This window comes from Homo sapiens, chromosome 2 (genome assembly GCF_000001405.40).
Source record: "Homo sapiens chromosome 2, GRCh38.p14 Primary Assembly".
Taxonomy (NCBI): Eukaryota; Metazoa; Chordata; class Mammalia; order Primates; family Hominidae; genus Homo; species Homo sapiens.
Genome location: NC_000002.12, coordinates 234,483,590 through 234,498,386, shown reverse-complemented (window position 1 = coordinate 234,498,386; position 14,797 = coordinate 234,483,590). Strand labels below are relative to the sequence as shown.

General features: G+C 49.0%; 1 protein-coding gene across 2 annotated transcripts, besides 3 other annotated features; it reads left to right on the top strand.

Moving 5' to 3' along the window:
* Window positions 271-1,044: an enhancer, noted in NCBI's record as "H3K27ac hESC enhancer chr2:235405987-235406760 (GRCh37/hg19 assembly coordinates)". NCBI's record gives its function as "activates a minimal SCP1, AML or CMV promoter by ChIP-STARR-seq in naive H9 embryonic stem cells {active_cell/tissue: H9 hESC(naive)}" and the evidence as "EXISTENCE:reporter gene assay evidence [ECO:0000049][PMID:30033119]".
* Window positions 1,229-1,518: a silencer, noted in NCBI's record as "silent region_12474". NCBI's record gives its function as "represses an Ori minimal core promoter by ATAC-STARR-seq in GM12878 lymphoblastoid cells {active_cell/tissue: GM12878}" and the evidence as "EXISTENCE:reporter gene assay evidence [ECO:0000049][PMID:35858748]".
* ARL4C (ARF like GTPase 4C) lies at window positions 1,306-5,346 on the top strand. 2 transcript variants are annotated; one of them, NM_001282431.2, is made up of 2 exons: window positions 1,306-2,375; window positions 2,551-5,346. In NM_001282431.2, the coding sequence occupies exons 1-2, from the start codon at window positions 1,801-1,803 to the stop codon at window positions 2,579-2,581; spliced, it is 606 nt and encodes a 201-aa protein (NP_001269360.1). In that variant the 5' UTR covers window positions 1,306-1,800; the 3' UTR covers window positions 2,582-5,346. The 2 variants fall into 2 exon arrangements, with proteins under 2 accessions (NP_001269360.1, NP_005728.2); NM_005737.3 differs by having other exon boundaries at window positions 1,338-5,346.
* Window positions 1,629-1,728: a silencer, noted in NCBI's record as "silent region_12473". NCBI's record gives its function as "represses an Ori minimal core promoter by ATAC-STARR-seq in GM12878 lymphoblastoid cells {active_cell/tissue: GM12878}" and the evidence as "EXISTENCE:reporter gene assay evidence [ECO:0000049][PMID:35858748]".
* Window positions 5,347-14,797: the final 9,451 nt, after the last annotated feature.

Sequence of the window (14,797 nt, the reverse complement as noted above, 5' to 3'; positions counted from 1 at the left end):
GAAGGTGATAAAGTATTTCTCTAAAATTCTAGCTTTTATTCATAAATTCTTAGCATTTTCATTTTCTTCTCCCTTGACCCCGTTTCCGTCGTTTCTGTCTCATAAGCTAGAGCTGGGAAGATGCGGTCGCCCATGCTGCGGCCTGCTGTCTCCTGCGGAGCAGCTCTCCCCAGATCTGTGTGTTTGCCATAATATACTCTCACTTTTCTCCGCACCCAGAGAGGATATACATTTGTTACATGTTTACAAACCAGAATAAAACCATTGAACTGAGGTGACAGGAGGTGGAACCCGTGGAATATCAGTGTTTGTAACCCACTGCGCCACCAGCTCCAAGCTGTAGACACATTTTCTTTCAGCCCCCGGGGCTGGTGTTGCCATTTCTGCGGAGTAGTTCACCTGCGGGCAGGTGGTTCTCAGTTCCCAAAGTCGGGTGGCAAGGGGTGCTCTCCCGAAATGCTGACGCTTCCCCTGGGATGTCAGCAGAGTCGATGCGGACGAAATGAGGTAGCCCAGGCGTGTCTGGGAGGGTGAGCTGTCCGAGCTACTTGGGGCAGGTAGGTCTTCTAATCCCCCATCGCGGCCTAGGTCCGACCCTGCCCCAACCGCCGCCACCGGGCAAGAAAGGCTGGGCCTCCAGGGTGCCCTGGGCACAGGCCTGGGCTCCGGAGGGCGGCGCTGGCCGGGTGCAGCCCCCTGGAACCCAGGCAGGAGGCGAGCCTGGGCGTCACTGGGGGCCGGGGCCGGCGACAGCCGCGGCGCGAGGGTGGGAGGGGACGCGCCCGGCTGGATCCAGAGCGCAGGCTGGCAGCTCACCGAGGCCAGCCCCGTCCCGTCCCTTCTGGGGTTTGGAGGCCCCAGCCTCGCCGCCCTCACTCCCCAGAGCGGCGCTCTCCCAGTCACCCTGGGGGCCGCCCTGCCCCGCCTCGCGCCCACAGAGCTGGGACCCCGGGACCCACTCCCTCAGGCAGGCTGCGTCGCCCACGGCTGCGGCCCGGAGGGGCAGGGGGCGGGCTAGGACCCGGGCGGGGATTCCGGGAGCCGAGAGCTATTTTTGCAAACGCGTCAGCCGCTGGGGAGGAAGAGCCGGCTCCGCGCCCATTGTGTCTGCGCGGCGCGGCGCGGGAGGGGCCGGGGGGCGGCGGGGGGCGGCGGGGACGCAGCGAAGCGCGCGAAAACGGCCGGCTGGGCGGGGAGGACCGCGCCTGACCCCCGGCGGCGGGCGGGGCGGGGCCCGGGGCGGGTCCGGGGGCGGGTCCGGGGCGGGGCGCGAGGGGGCGGGTCCGGGAGCTCTCCGGCCGCTGCAGGCTGGCGGCTGCTGCGGCGGCGCGGGGACTGTGAGGCTGCCGAGCGGACAGCGACTCCCGGGGAAGCCCGCGCTCCGGGAGCGGGAGCGGGAGCAGGAGCAGGAGCAGCGCCGTCCCAGGCCAGAGGCGAGCGCCGGGCGCCGGGAGAGCGGAGAGCCCGGGCAGCTGCCGGAGCGCGGGGGCGCGGCCCGAGGAAACCACAGAGCGAGCCCAGGCCTGGGGAGGGCGCCGAACATCTGAGGCGGCTTCGCGGGAGACAAAGCCGCGCGTAGAGACGCGATGCCCGCCGATCGCGAGCCCGGCCGGCGAGGGCGCGGGGACTGCGGCGTCTGAGCGCGCCAAGCCGTGCGCCCGCGGGGACGCCGAGCCCCGGGGCCGGTGCGGGCGGCGGCGGGCGGGGCCCAGGTGCGCCCGGCCGCGTCGGGCCCGTGACTGCTCGGGGGGCGGCGCCCTCCCGCCGCAGCCGCAGTGGCTGGCGCCGCAGCCAGGAGCCATGGGCAACATCTCCTCTAACATCTCGGCCTTCCAGTCCCTGCATATCGTCATGTTGGGCTTGGACTCGGCCGGCAAGACCACGGTGCTCTACCGGCTCAAGTTCAACGAGTTCGTGAACACGGTGCCCACCATCGGCTTCAACACCGAGAAGATCAAGCTGAGCAACGGCACGGCCAAGGGCATCAGCTGCCACTTCTGGGACGTGGGCGGCCAGGAGAAGCTGCGGCCGCTGTGGAAGTCCTACAGCCGCTGCACGGACGGCATCATCTACGTGGTGGACTCGGTGGACGTGGACCGGCTGGAGGAGGCCAAGACGGAGCTGCACAAGGTGACCAAGTTCGCCGAGAACCAGGGCACGCCGCTGCTGGTCATCGCCAACAAGCAGGACCTGCCCAAGTCGCTGCCGGTGGCAGAGATTGAGAAGCAGCTGGCGCTGCACGAGCTTATCCCGGCCACCACCTATCACGTCCAGCCGGCGTGCGCCATCATCGGCGAGGGCCTCACCGAGGGCATGGACAAGCTCTATGAGATGATCCTGAAACGCAGGAAGTCCCTCAAGCAGAAGAAGAAGCGGTAATGCGCCCGGAGCGACCGGGGAGCGAGCGAGTGCGTCAAGAAAGAATGAATGGATGGATGGATGGTTGGATGGATGGATGGATGGATGAGCGAGAACCCGCGCCCGCGAACAAAGAGCGAACCAAAGCGATGCTTCGAATTTTTAAAACGGAATCTCTGCACCCAAATGCAGGACTGGTGACTTAAGGAGCTGCGAAGTCTGATTTACCGGCCTACTCTCGACCTGCCCCCCACCCCCAGCTCAGGGGACCTTTTGTCTGAACGCCAGAGCTACTGACCAGGTCGGGGGGCCGCGGTGGGGAGTGGAAGAGCCGGTCCTGCTGTCCGCCCTCCCAGCCCCAGGTGGAAGGCTCAGTTGTCGGAAAGACAAAAGCGATTTCTTCCCACTCCTGCAGGGCCAGAAGTTCAGGCTGCCCCGCCTCCACTGGGGGATCGCACCTGTGAATTACCTGAGGTATGCATTTCCCAGAACCGTGGGCGTACCCACCTTGGGGGGCATGTTGGTTCTGGGGGGACCACCTCTCCTTGCATTCAGGGGCTGTGAAGCTGAGTAATTTTCGGTCACAGGGCAGGCCCCTGTTGAAATTTCATTTGTCCTGCTCTGGGCCCAAAGGTGGTGGTGGTTTGGGTCATCAGAGGACTGCCTGGGACGGTTCAGCGGGCACGGAGCGCTGTGCTGGCCTGGCTGGGGATGGCCGCGGAGGTGCCCTTTTCCTGGTGCTTTGTGGTGGCTGCAGAAGACCAGTTTTGTTGAGAACTGCTTTTCAGCCTGGAATCAGACATCTTCCAGATGGTTTGGACCCTGTCCATGTGTAGGTCATTATCACACAAAGAGACCAATAAAAATAAAAAAAATAAAAAAAAAAAAAGACGAACTATTGGAGGTGGTGGCCAATGATGCATTTACTGTTTGCAGGATAGTTAAAGGTGTTTAAAGGGTAAGGCTTTTGGTGTAAATGCTGGATGGGGTGTGTGTGTGTGTGGATATAGGGACCTCCCTCTGTACTGTGTACTGTGTAATCGGCATTAATACCTAGACTCATATGTATGGAATTTTAAATTCTCTTAGCCTACTGATTGGTTTGGATGAGCACACCAGCTGCAGGTGTGTGCTGAATTGCAAGATGGTATTTTTTTTTTTAACCAAGGGATGTCTCTTGTAATACTAACCGCGTGATAATGGGTTTTCAGACATGATGAAAAAAAAAAACTTTTACAAATGAATACTTACCTTAGAAATATTCACCTTAGGAAAAAAGACTTTGCTCTGCCCTTTTATATTCCTTTATGCTGCAAGTGGTGACATGTTCAGATTTCTAATTTGGTTCATTGTGGCCTATCTGGTTTAAGTCTTTCATTAAAAATGTCTCGTTAGAGTATTTGATGTCATGCACCAAAAAAATAAAACCCCACCTTGTTGCAAAAGCTGACCTCGTTGCATGGAATTAAAAGAGAAGGAAAAACACAAGGATGAAGTCTTTCCGAATTCATTCTTGTGGGAACTGGCCTTCGGAGCCAGCCAGCACTTTGGGCAAATGCAAACAACAATGAGTGCTTGAGATAAAAGAAAGTGTGACGTCATGGTCACTGGTACTCAGGCACTTCACAGTTTACTTGAAAGAGGCTTTGGAAAATAGATAAAGTGAAAGAAGAATAAATACATATTTTTAATAATGTAATTTTAAAAATCCTTTATAATCAGGACTGAGTCTTGGTTTGCAGAAGCTGTCACTTACCCTGAAACACAGTATCAAAAGGGAAACTTAAAACATACTGTTTGATTTTTTTATTTCCTCTTACAATCCATGTTTTCAGGTAGAATTATGACTTTCCCCCCATTGTTACACATTTCTTTACAAAGGAGGCCTGTAGAAATTGGACACGATCATGCTTGAGCATGTGAGTTAGTCAAATTATGAGTCCCTGCCTATTGTCCATTACACACCGAATGTTAATTTAAGAACCAGAGGCAGAAGTTCTGGCTTCCTGCTTGAAACCCAATTCTTATATGAAATTTTTTAAAAGCAGAAACCTAGCAGCCCATCTGCTTTTTCTCTTTTGTCGGTGTATTTGGTACCCCTCCAATGCTGGTCTTTTTGTAGAAACTCAGTAGAGAAAGTCTAGCTAAGCAGTGTTGAAAAGCCTGCAAGATTTCAGTTTACATATCGACAGCATATCCACTGATTTCTAAATGGGCTGGTCCCATCATCTGAAGATTCTGTATAGAATTATTAAAAAAAAAATCCATCTTTCTTTATTTTCTTCACATGCGACAATTTCTTAAGCACTTTGACATTTTGGTAGTTCCACACTATTGAGAGAATAATATATTTATTTTGTGACATTGCAGATGCCAAATACTGTAACCTTCTCATGATAACAATACTTAGGTTCAAGATCACTGTTCAAACCCTGTCATGCTTTAAAACTGATGCGAGATGATTTTGTTTTTTGCATAATCAATACTTAAGGGTGCAATCAACTGTTAGTAATTGTGCAGTAAAGTAAAGCCCTGTGGTGTATCAACTACTAGTTAAGAGTCTCAGTTGATTTCTGTAATGTTTGACCTAATAATAGCCCGTTTCGTCTCTGACCCAACAGAGGAAGCACAGATCAAATCACCTTGGAGTGGTCACCAGGGGGACAGGGAGCCCCCCACCAATGTATCAATGGGTGATTTATGATGCCTTCTGCCCTTTGGCGAGTGAATGGGTTTCCCATAGGGGAAGTTGGCCTCCCTCCGTGAGCTTTGGAAATGTTTTCTAATAGACACAGGGAGGCCAGTTCTGTTTCAGAGCAATTATCTTCCCAAATTCTCTGTTCTGGTGTTGGAACTGTGTGCCCTGGTTTCTGTTTTCCTTTCTACTGCTGTAATTCTCTGTCTCATCATCCTTCTCTTTTGTTTCCATAGCCTTTTATAATGCATATATGATGCTGTGAACAGAAATAAATTATTTATACAATCAAATGACTGGGGAGATTTTCTGTGGAATTTTTTGTTTGTTTTTTTGACATTGCTGGTATTCATTCTCTAGGCCTCTGCTGAGTGGGGGGATGGATCACAAGATGGTGTCTGGAGTTCTAGTCGGTATATCAGTCATCTCAATTTTTGGTGTCAGGGTCTAGCTCTGCCGTGAATGGTGGATCCGGATGCTAAAATGCAGGAGTCTGTATGCATTTGAGGCTCGTTCACTTGCGCCTGTCCTTCATCTGGGTGCCTTCCACTGCGTCATTTCAAATCCTTTAGGAAAATGGCCTCAATGTCTAGCCCTTCCTCAGCACTCTCATTTACTAAAAAGGTCATGAATTGATAATTACCTCAAAAAGGTAATTATATAAAATTGGAAATAGCTTTGTACTAATATAAGAACGCTGGAAGTTACAAAGCTACTCAGTATCTTGGCTTTGTCTCTCTGCTCAGTACCTGGGCTGAGTCCATGCTTTTTGAGTCCAAGGCTTGAGCTCTCTTAAATAGCAGGTGTAGTTAGACCCTCACACTCTGTAGACTCTGCAGAGAAAAGGTCCACTTTCTAGAGAAAAATGCGATTGGGCCAGAACCAATAGAACCTTGAATGGGTGCAATGGGTAGCATATGGAGGCACGTGGCAGCTGTTAAGCGACAGGCTTAATTGCTACTAAGTGATGGTTAAGACCCTAGTGGGGTATGGGGTCTCTTAAGCATGGAGCCCAAAAGAGCCAGTTCCAAAATCTGGCTCAAGTGCCTAGGGCCCTGTGATTTTGCTCAAGTCCTTTCCCTCTAAGCCTCAGTTTCTCATATGTAAAATGGGATCATAATGGTACCTCAAAGAATTGTTGGGAGGATGAAGCAGGATAATACAGGTGAAGCGCCTATCCCCATGCCTGGCACACAGTAAGTGTTCAATCGCTTTCAATTTGTTGTTATTGGCTGCCAACATGTGGAACGTGTGATAACCTCACCCGCCTGCAGGTCTTTAAGTCAGGTCCTTGCAATCTCCCTTTTAGCCACACTTCTTGGTATCCTCATCCCACTAAAACCTAGGCTGCTGACTCTGGGCTTGGGCCAGAATGGAGTGAAAACAAGCACCTGGAGACCGTCTGATCAACCCAGGTGGTCTTCTCCTCCAAAGGTGTAAGAGGCTGAATTAGGTGTCAAACTTAGGTTGCCGGACTCTTGAATCCATTACTTTTCATACATCCCATATCACTAGGCTGTGATCCCCTCAAAGCAGGGAGGAGATCTTCTTTAATTGCTGGTGCCTAGCATAGTACTGAGCATATAGCAGGTGCTCAGTAAATATTGGCTGAATGACTTAATTCCTGTCAATTAGTTTTGGTCATAAACTTTAGGAATTAAATAAAATTACTATCTCCTATTAAATATTTAAATGAAAATAGACAAAATATTGTTATTCTTCCAGATCAGTATTGTGAGATGAATCATTGCTCCAACCAAGCGTGTTGAAACTTACACATTGGTGAACACATTTGTGGGTTTAGAGGTTTTTCTTTAAAAATGAGCGTGGCTTGACTTTAATCATTTACATTGCTGCAGGAACTAATTATTGGGACATAGATTACATCAAAAGGGCACGGATGCTGTTTCTGAAACCTAAAAAGCGGCTGAAAAACCACTTAGGGACTATTGTGGCTCCCCAGGAGTAAAAATGTTGAGAATCAGAAGAAGCAAAGACCAAAACCCTTGCTTTATAGGGCAACCTTAATTTAATCTTGATTCAACAAATACATTCTTGGGGAGCCAAGTGACATCTGATACTTAGACAACATCAATCATGTTATGTTTTCTAGAAAATTAACTGCAAGTGGCCCCATCCCTCTGACCACTAGTAACCGAGGAGGTTGGTGTTAATCCTAAGCCGCTGTCCTATTTCCCACAATCTGAACTTTTCCTTCAAGGTTTCGATTCTTCGTTTGCCACAATCTGAACTTTTCCTTCAAGGTTTCGATTCTTCGTTTGTAAGTTTTTTTCGGTAGACCAGGGACGCCTGGCCTTACTGTTTTGTGCCTTTATGCTCGTCTCCAGAGCTTGGGTTCTTGGAACGATCCTGTTACCAGCGTTAACTGTTAGACTGTTTTGATGTCACAATCATGTGGTAGCAAGGAACGACAAAATTATGTGCATATAACTGATGTGAAGATTAAGGGTTTGACATGAAAAAAGTAAGAAGAGAACAAATGCAGAACTTGATAGTCCTTGATTTAGCAGCTCTCTGGCTGCCCAGCTGAATAACCTCTCTTCTGCTTTGTGTCCTGTTGTAGGTCTGATGCCCACAGCTTGGCATTTGCCTGCCAGAAAGAAATCCGCCATCTCAGTTGATATGCAGGCATTTCTCTTCTCTCCTCATTCAGCTGTCTCGTACATGTTCACTTATCCTTAAAACAGCCCTCTCCTTCTGGCTCTCCCTGGCTCAGCTGAAACTCGTTTAAAATAGAATTTGCACAAGACATTGGAGGATTTTATACATTTGTTTTGCACCAGTTCTCAACTTAAGCGTGGGGCTGCGTCAGTTTCAGAGAGGAACTTGCAATGTGAGGGTTTCTGAGAAAGTAGCCTGTTGTTTCTTCCCCAAGATTAGAAGTGAGAATGAAAGATCTGTGTTACTTACTCCACCTAAATTTTCAGAATATGCCGTGGCTTTCTTTGAATGGTACCACCTTACACACAACTCTGGGCGTGAACTGCTCCTAATGCAGGATGTAACTGTGACTGCATTCTGCATGGAGCATGGCAGCATGGTGTGAAAGAAGTAACCAAAACAAGCAATTTTTAAAGTTGTTTTTATAACATGCCTTTTAGAAGACGAGCATCTCGTTTGCATTTGTTAATTAAAATTACTGTAACATAGTAACATTAGGCACAGCCTGGTTTATAGTCCCTGTTAGTCCTAGATGATCATGGTAATAGCCACTGCAGCCTTTACTGAGTGCTTAGTATATGCTAGATACCATGCTAAGTGCTTCACTTCCTTGATAATTTTTCCTCCCAAAGGCCCCAAGAGATCAACTAATTTTATTTGCACTTACAGATGAGGAAACCGAGGTTCAGAGGAGATTAGCTAATGTTCTGCGAGGGTGGAACTAGTTTAAGACCCAGATCCCTTCAACCCAAGGGCTGGGCTCTTGGAGGCTCCACTAACCTGCTGCCCTTTGATCAGGAAGGTTCTGCAGTTTAAAAAATATTGGGCTCTGGGCCAGGCGCGATGGCTCACGCCTGTAATCCCAGCACTTTGGGAGGCCAAGGCAGGTGGATCACCTGAGGTCCGGAGTTTGAGACCAGCCTGGCCAACATGGTGAAACCCTGTCTCTACTAAAAATACAAAAAATTGGCCGGGCATTGTGGTAGGCACCTGTAATCCTAGCTACTTGGGAGGCTGAAGCATAAGAATCTCTTGAACCCGGGAGACGGAATTTGCAGTGAGCTAATATTGCACCATTGAACTCCAGCCTAGGCAACAGAGCGAGATTCCGTCTAAAAAAATAAATAATAATAAATCTGGGGCTCTGGATCTAGGAAGACGAGGATGGACGGTTTGTGTTGCCAGCCTGCATCACCACCCTCATGCTGATGACAGAAAGGGTGACCTCCTTCCCCTCCCCCTTCCCCCACTGCCAGGGCTCTGCCGACATCCCAGCACTGCACCTTGCTTTCTCTCCTTAGCACCTCCCAGTGTCTAGAAGACAACCCCTCTTGCTTCAGATTCTGTCCCTGAACAATTTTGTTTTCAGTTTTCCTTTCAGGAGTGTTTGTGTCGGGGACGATGCCTACCCCACAGAGGATGGACAGGGAGGAGTGTCAGGTGTCACTGGGTCTGCATTTGGGGATGTGATCTTGAATGAGTCACCTGTCTAACCCCACTCAACCTCAGACCGCTCAACTACAGGATGAGGCTGAGAATCCCCATCCTGCCTACCTCTCAGTATTGTTTTAAAGGTAAAATGAAACACTAGACAGAAAAGCACCATGCAAGCTGCAAGGCAAGTCACACACACGGCAAGGATGCATATGATGCTTCGGCTGTGACCCCTTCTCCCCGCTGATGGCAGGATGCCCCCTCCTGCGTGTAGGGGAATTCTGCTGGTCTGTTTTTCACAGACAGGCCAAACAGCCCTGGTGCTCGCTCCCTCTTCATTTTCACTGATAAGACTTCCAGCTCATGGAGAGTAAACCAAAGGAGACTTCCTAAGGGAAAACATCTTTCCTTGTGAGATTCTGGGCATTGAATCTTTAGTGGAAGTTTCCAGTAAGTGGCTGTGGGGGAAATGAGCCTCCTCTATCTGTGGTTTGCAGAATTCTCATTCTTCTAATGGCTACTCCTGGGTGTTTCCATTTCCTTAAACGCTAACTCACTGTGCAGTTAATTTCAACTGCCTATGCCTCATAACAACTAAAAAAACTACAATTGTAACATTTAAAAGGCATCATGGTAAGTAATGATCATTGCAACAGTTTATTTCATAAATATGTGTTTGAATCCATTATTACATGAATGAAAATTTGCATTGCTATGTAATTTGAAGTGTGCTGGGATGCTGTATTTATCATATAAAAAAGCTTCCAAAAACAGAATGGACAACCAATAGTGACACCCACAATATTGGGGAGACTGTGATATAGGCAAAGGCACTTGTCCTCAGAGGGCTGATATTCTAGTAGGTGAGTCAGGCCTAAATGATCAAGTGAGGTGCTTGACTCCAGTGCAAAGCATCCATCATTTTACCAAAGAGAAAGTCACAAATTTAACCAAACCCACCATTGCAAGCCACACCAGCCTTGGGATAGAGCCAGAAGCAATGTATGTTCCCTAAGGATATTACTCTGTGGTCCTGGTACCTGCCATGTGAAGAATTCTGCCCCCCTCAAAATCCTTCTCCAACTCTTTCAGAGATTTCCTGGGGCAGGGAGGGATGTTCATTGTACACATGTCCTCAGCCTCCTCCACATGTCCTCAGCCTCCTCCACTTCCTTTCCTTCCCTGACTCCTGGAGGCAGTGCCAGTTTTGCAGGTTTTGGAGAAGCTGATCATCATGATCAGCATGATGGCTCAAACTGCTAACCCCAAACACTGGTGACCCCACCTGGGTCCGCCCCATTCTCAATGTCCTGCAGATATTTCGGGGGCCTGGCTCCTCAGTGTCTGCTCTTGCACATAAGGAACACAGGAGTCAAAGAGCCCAGGGATTATCTGAGTGTCTAATGCTGTGCCATCCCAGAATCCCCCTTTTATCTGACACTGGCTCTCTCTCCTGGAGCCTTTCTCAGGTGTATCAGCCCACTAGTCCCCTCCATGGAGTTCTTCCCAAGAGATGCCTTAACTGATTAGAAATCCTGGGATGGATGGGAATCTTGGTGTGGGCCCAGCTCCGGGTTCTAAACCAGGGCTCCATCAACCTAAAGGGAGATGTGTGGTCTGCCTGCAATCCGGTTGCTGTCATAGAGTTAAGAATTTCCTGCAGAAGTATTGCGAATGACTACTTCCCCCTGAAATCCAGGCTGTGTCTTAATTCTGCTCTTCCTGAATCTGATTGTATAGATAATTGGATGCTGGAATCAGAGATTAAAGGGTCTGATATGGGGTGAAGGCCTCAGAAGGAGACACTGCAGGTAACCTATACAGTCAATATCTTATCTTGCTGGCAGGACCCTGATTTTGCTTGGATGGCACCTTCTGTCTCATGGTTTTGTATTCAGAAAAGGCTACCCTATCCCCAGCTTTAAGAGAAATTAATATCAACCATAAAATCAATCATTCCTGTTGCCCGCAATTTGCTTAGGATAGGTCCTGTTGCCATTCTGACCAATGAGGATGAAAGGAAAGGCTTTTTGTAGAAGAGAGAGCGGGTGGGCTTTGGAAAAAAAATTTTATATTGGAAAATGAGACATAGGGACCATATGGCTCTCCTTTGCTGTCTCTGAATTTCAGCAAATGAAGATGTGATGCCTGGAGTGACTGCAGCCATCCTGATCCCATGAGGAGAGCCAACCCAGACACTGAGGATGGCAGAAAGGAAATATGAAAGGAACCTAGGTCTTAGAAAATGTCATCCAACTGCTGGAATAACCAACCCCAGGACTGCCTGAACTCAGGGCTTGGGATTTCAGCTATCCTTCAGACACCATCACCAACCCTGATGTTGCAAAAACAATGAGAGCTCCCCACAAGAGCTGCCATGTGAGAGAAGCCTCTCCACCCTCTCTGTGTGTGACAAGAGGTCACAAGCAGATGGAAACCTGCCTTGCTTGGCCCAGGCTGGGGGAGTGGAAGGACTGACTGCTCCCATCCTGGTTTGACAATTACTGCCAAGGAGCCAAGGACATTCTGGCCACAAGAGTGTAATTCAGAGTAAACAGCTGAGAACGTCATTCATTGTTAAGCCCTTTACCACTGTTCATTTTCTCAAAAGAAATTATTCTGATAATATTAATTACTGCCATTCATGCAGTGTTTGTTTTATATTAGATGCTGAATTGAGCACTTGACAGTCATCTCATTTAATCCTCTCTGAAGCACTATGAGGTAGGCATGTACTTCCTGCCTCCACCAACTGCCTCCTTTGGATAGACAGACAGACAGATAGACAGACAGATAGATACTCTTAAAAACAAAGGTTGACCACTTTTGGAGTGCCAAGCACTGAGCCAAACATGTTAGTTGGGCTGTCCTTCTTACCCCTGACAGTAAACATCATGGAATCAGGACTATTTTTATCATTAGCCTCACTACAGAAATACAGAAACAGGCTTGGAGGTGCTGGGTGCCTTGCCAGGGTCACAGTGCTACTATGCAGAGTGAGGATTTGAACCCAGGCAGTCTGACCTCAGAGCCTGTGCACCTGCCATGAGGCAGCTCTACACAGCCCTGAGCTGGAAACTTGCACATGGCAGGTACCCCAGGATATCTGTCTCATGAATGGACTCCTAATTGGTGCAGCATCCACCACCATTGCAGCTGAGAAGGACCGCACAGGGATCTCTGAACCAGCGCCTTTCAAATCTGATGGGCATACTTACTGCCTGCCTGGGGATTCCGTTGCATCGCGCATCCTGACTTGGTGGGGCTGGGGTATGTCATGAGATTCTGCTTTTCTAGTAAGTTCCCAGTGAGGCTGATGCTGCTGTTCCCTGAATGCAAGCATCAGAGCATTCATTCATTTGTTGGGACCTTGGCTTTGTATCATGCCAGCACCCCAGAAAATTTCGTGCCTCAGCCATGTTTCTCTGGTCCCTTTAAAGCAGTGGCTGTCAACCATGGGTGATTTTGTCCTCCAGGTGCAATGGCAATGTCCTGAGACATGCTTGGGTGTCACCATTAAGGGGAGGGGGCTACAGGCATCAGGTGGGTAGAGGCCAGGATGCCACTGAACATCTTACCATGCCTGGGACAGCTCCCCAGACAATGATCTGGCCCAGAATGTCAATAGCACTGAGGTTGAGGAAGCCTGCAAGAGGTCCTTGCACTGGCAGTTCCCTCTCCCTAGGACACTTGTCCCCCAAGGGACTGCCTGGCTCCATCCTTCCTTTCCTTCAGGTCTTTGCTCCAACATCCCCTTCTGGGTCCAGCCTTGCCCAGCCTCATTTTAAATTGTAACTCCCATCCCTCACTGTCTCTCCCCTCCCTGCATCATTTTTCTCCATGGCACATAATTCCACTGACATAATACGCATTTTCCTCAATGATTTGTTCATTGTCTGTCTCTCCTATGTGTTAGTTTCCACTGCTCCTGAAAAAAATGGCCACAAACTTAGTGGCCCCAAATAACACAAATGCATTCTTTTACAGTTCTAGGGATCAGAAGGCCTCAAATCCAGGTGTCAGCAGAGGTTGCTCCTTCTGCAGCCCCAGGGGAGAGTCTGTTCCTCGCCTTCTCCAGCTTCTAGAGGCTGCCCATGTTCCTTGACTCATGGCCTCCCTTTTATTAGGTTGGTGCAAAAGTAATTGCCGTTACTAATGGTAAAAAATGCAATTATTTTTGCACCAACCTAATATCTTCAAAGCCAGCCGCACAGCACCTTCAAATCTCTCTCTGACTCTGGTCTTTCTCTTATAAGAACCCTTATGAAGACACCGGGCCCACCCAAATAATCCAGGACAAACTCCCCACCTCAAGGTCCTCAGCTTAATCACATCCACAGCGTTCTTTATGCCGTGTGGGGTAACATATTCACAGGTTTCAGCAATTAGGACATGAGCATTTGGGGGACCATTATTCTGCCCACCACACCCTCCTAGAATGAAAGCACCACGGAGGCAGAGAGTTTTATCCAACGTGTTGATTTCTAAATCCCCAGAGCCTAGCACAGGGCCTGATACTTAGGAATACCTAAATACCATTTAGTGTTTATTGGATGATGAATAACCCTTGGTTTTCAGAAGAAATAATCAGGAAACTGGAAGCAACAGAAGACACCCTCCCCATTGAAAATATGGCTCACCTGTAAGAGTCAAACTGTAATGTCGATTTGTCACGGATGAGTATCGGTATATAAGAAGGAAACTTAAAGAGACAGCCTACTGTCCTGGCCAGAGTTAGATCTGGACAAAGCAGTTAGTGGATCCACATAAGGATGGTGTCCACCCACAGGGCCCAGGCCAGCCAACAAGGCGTGGAAAACAGGAGACCCCAAGAGACGCTGGCAGCAGAGACCTCACTCTTTCAACAGCCAGTGTGGCCACTGATGGCTGCCATGGTTTTCCTACGTGGGGTGGAGAGCCTGGACAGCAGACACAAATAAATGCCCCCTTGGCAGGTACAACTCTAACGGCAAATTAACCCGTTTACATTTTGGTTTGTGAGTTGGTGTGTTAGTTTCCCAGGGCTGCCATGGCAACACACCACAAACAGAGGGGCTTTGGCAACAGAACTGTGTTGTCATCTAGTTGTGGAGGCTGAAAGCCTGAGACCGAGGTGTCAGCAGGGTTGGTTCCTTCTGAGGCCACCAGGGTGTGTGTTCCAGGCTTCTCCCCCAGCTTCTGGTGGTTTGCTGGCAATCTTTGGTTTTCCTGTTTGCGGCAGCATCACCCCAACCCTCACATGACATTCTCCCTGTGTGCAGGTCTCTGTGTCCAAATTTCACCTTTTTGTGAGGACATGATCATGTTGGAATAGGGCTCACCTAGTGACCCCATCTAAACTTGATCATCTGCAAATACTCTATTTCCAAATAAGGTCTCATTCACGGTACGAGGAGTTAAGACTTCAATATCTTTTGCAGGGGATGCCATTCAACCATAACTCATGATTTCTGTGAATTGAGACGTCGTGAATCTGAATCTCCAAGTTTAATTAGCTTCAAGACACCAGGAAACCACAAACTATGGGGAAGTCCTCACAGAAGGCACTGGGGACAGCTGCCTATTCACTGATTACACCTGGCCCTGTACCCACTTCCCATTCAGCCTCCTACGTTCACAGGGAGCTCT

Coding starts and splice junctions, on each gene's coding strand:
- ARL4C (NM_001282431.2), top strand. CDS start 1,801: ATGGGCAACATCTCCTCTAACATCTCGGCCTTCCAGTCCCTGCATATC. Junction 2,376..2,550: donor CTCAAGCAGAAGAAGAAGCG/GTAATGCGCCCG, acceptor ACCCAAATGCAG/GACTGGTGACTTAAGGAGCT.